Raw genomic sequence first — 1,732 nt, forward strand, 5'->3', positions numbered from 1 at the left:
AAATAACAATTCGAACATAGTTATAATTCATTTTAGAAGATATTATGGCTCACACATAGTAGATGTGATGACTGAATAACAGGAATGTGGAACGATGGCACCTTGGTAGCCATTACCCATTGCCAACATGATTCTGCATTAAAAAATCTGTGCAAAACGGCCGGGCACGGTGGCTCACGCCTGTAATCCTAGCACTTTGGGAGGCCGAGGAGGGCAGATCACGAGGTCGGGAGATGGAGACCATCCTGGCTAACACGGTGAAACCCCGTAACTACTAAAAATACAAAAAATTAGCTGGGCATGGTGGCACGCGCCTGTAGTCCCAGCTACTCGGGAGGCTGAGGCAGGAGAATCGCTTGAACCTGGGAGGTGGAGGTTGCAGTAAGCTGAGATCGCGCCACTGCACTCCAGCCTGGGCGACAGAGTGAGACTCCATTTCAAAAAAAAAAAAAAAAAAAAAGAACACAACTTTGGAGTATATTAATAAACATTGTGTTTTTTTTAAAAAAAATTTTTAATCTTTAATTTCCGTTTTCACATATTTCTTCTTGCTTCCAAAAGGAAAGGAGTGGGTAGCTCTGTTGTACACCGTCCACGGCCCCTGGATCCGGGCGGGGTCCCCCGGGCCACCTGGGGGTCCACATGCAGCCCCCAGGAGGCCGGTGCGGGGTGAGGTCCGGGGGCCGCCTTATTGCTGAGGTCCGGCCGGTTGGGGCCCCGGCGGCCGCTAGGCGCTCTGGCTGCGCAGCTCCTGGGAGATGAAGCGGCGCAGGCGCTCCAGGTACTGGCTGTAGAGCTGGATGTCTTTGTGCCCGGCGCCCTCCACCCACAGCGGCTCCACAGCCTTGGGGCAGCGCTCCTAGAGCGCCAGCCCCTGCGAGAAGTCGATCACCTCGTCTTTCGTGCCGTGGATGATGAGCACGGGCGACGTGATCTTGGACACCTTCTGGATTCTGCGGGAGGGGCGTGGGGCGGGTGAGAACTCTCCGGGCCCGGGCCCCGCCCCGCCCCGCCCCCGTCCCCGACCCAGTCCCCGTCCCCGCCCCTGTCCCTGCCCCAGCCTGCTCACTTGGGGAAGGCGTCGAAGCAGTAGGTCTTCTTGGTGTCGGGAAGGCGACGCTCAGGTCCAAGGTGAGCGGCGAGTGCAGCACCACCGCGGCGGACTCGTAGCGCGAGGCCAGGTCCACGGTGGGCACTGTGCCGATGCTCTGCCGGTACAGGATGATGCTGTCCGGGCTGATGCGGTACCTGGCGGCACCGGAGCAGGGTCAGCCGCGGCCTCCGACTCGCGCGCACCCCTCCCGCCAGCGGGCGTCCCCGGGCCCAGCTCCAGATGCGACTCTCCAGTCTCCCGGCTCAGCCTAGTCAGTGGGTCAGGCCCAGGCTCCACAGCAGTCCCAAGGGCCACCCCCAGTCCCCCAAGACCGCAGCGGTGGGCGGAGCCGGCGGCCTGGTCCTGTTCCCTGGCGCTATGGTTCACTGGCGTTTCCTAGCCAGGATCTGCTGGATCCTGGCTAGGGAGTCCCCCTCGGGCTAGGGTAGGGGAAGCCCTGGCGCCTCTCCTTCTCTTGGTCATCCCTGGGCGCACACTGGGAACTGTGTGCCCCCCCACATCCTGAATGCTTCACGCCTTCCTGCCCAGGTTAGAAAGCCGTTCCTGGTGCACTGGCCGGAACAGGGTACACTCTTCCTCCCTGCAGCCCTTGCCCACCCCCTTGGCCATGAGGAATTC

General features: G+C 60.5%; 1 pseudogene, besides 1 other annotated feature; it reads right to left on the reverse strand.

Moving 5' to 3' along the window:
* Positions 746 to 1,250, reverse strand: LOC100421667 (abhydrolase domain containing 17C, depalmitoylase pseudogene; annotated as a pseudogene).
* Positions 828 to 1,327: an enhancer, noted in NCBI's record as "H3K4me1 hESC enhancer chr15:22646599-22647098 (GRCh37/hg19 assembly coordinates)". NCBI's record gives its function as "activates a minimal SCP1, AML or CMV promoter by ChIP-STARR-seq in primed H9 embryonic stem cells {active_cell/tissue: H9 hESC(primed)}" and the evidence as "EXISTENCE:reporter gene assay evidence [ECO:0000049][PMID:30033119]".

The sequence above is a fragment of the Homo sapiens genome, chromosome 15 (assembly GCF_000001405.40).
Source record: "Homo sapiens chromosome 15, GRCh38.p14 Primary Assembly".
Taxonomy (NCBI): Eukaryota; Metazoa; Chordata; class Mammalia; order Primates; family Hominidae; genus Homo; species Homo sapiens.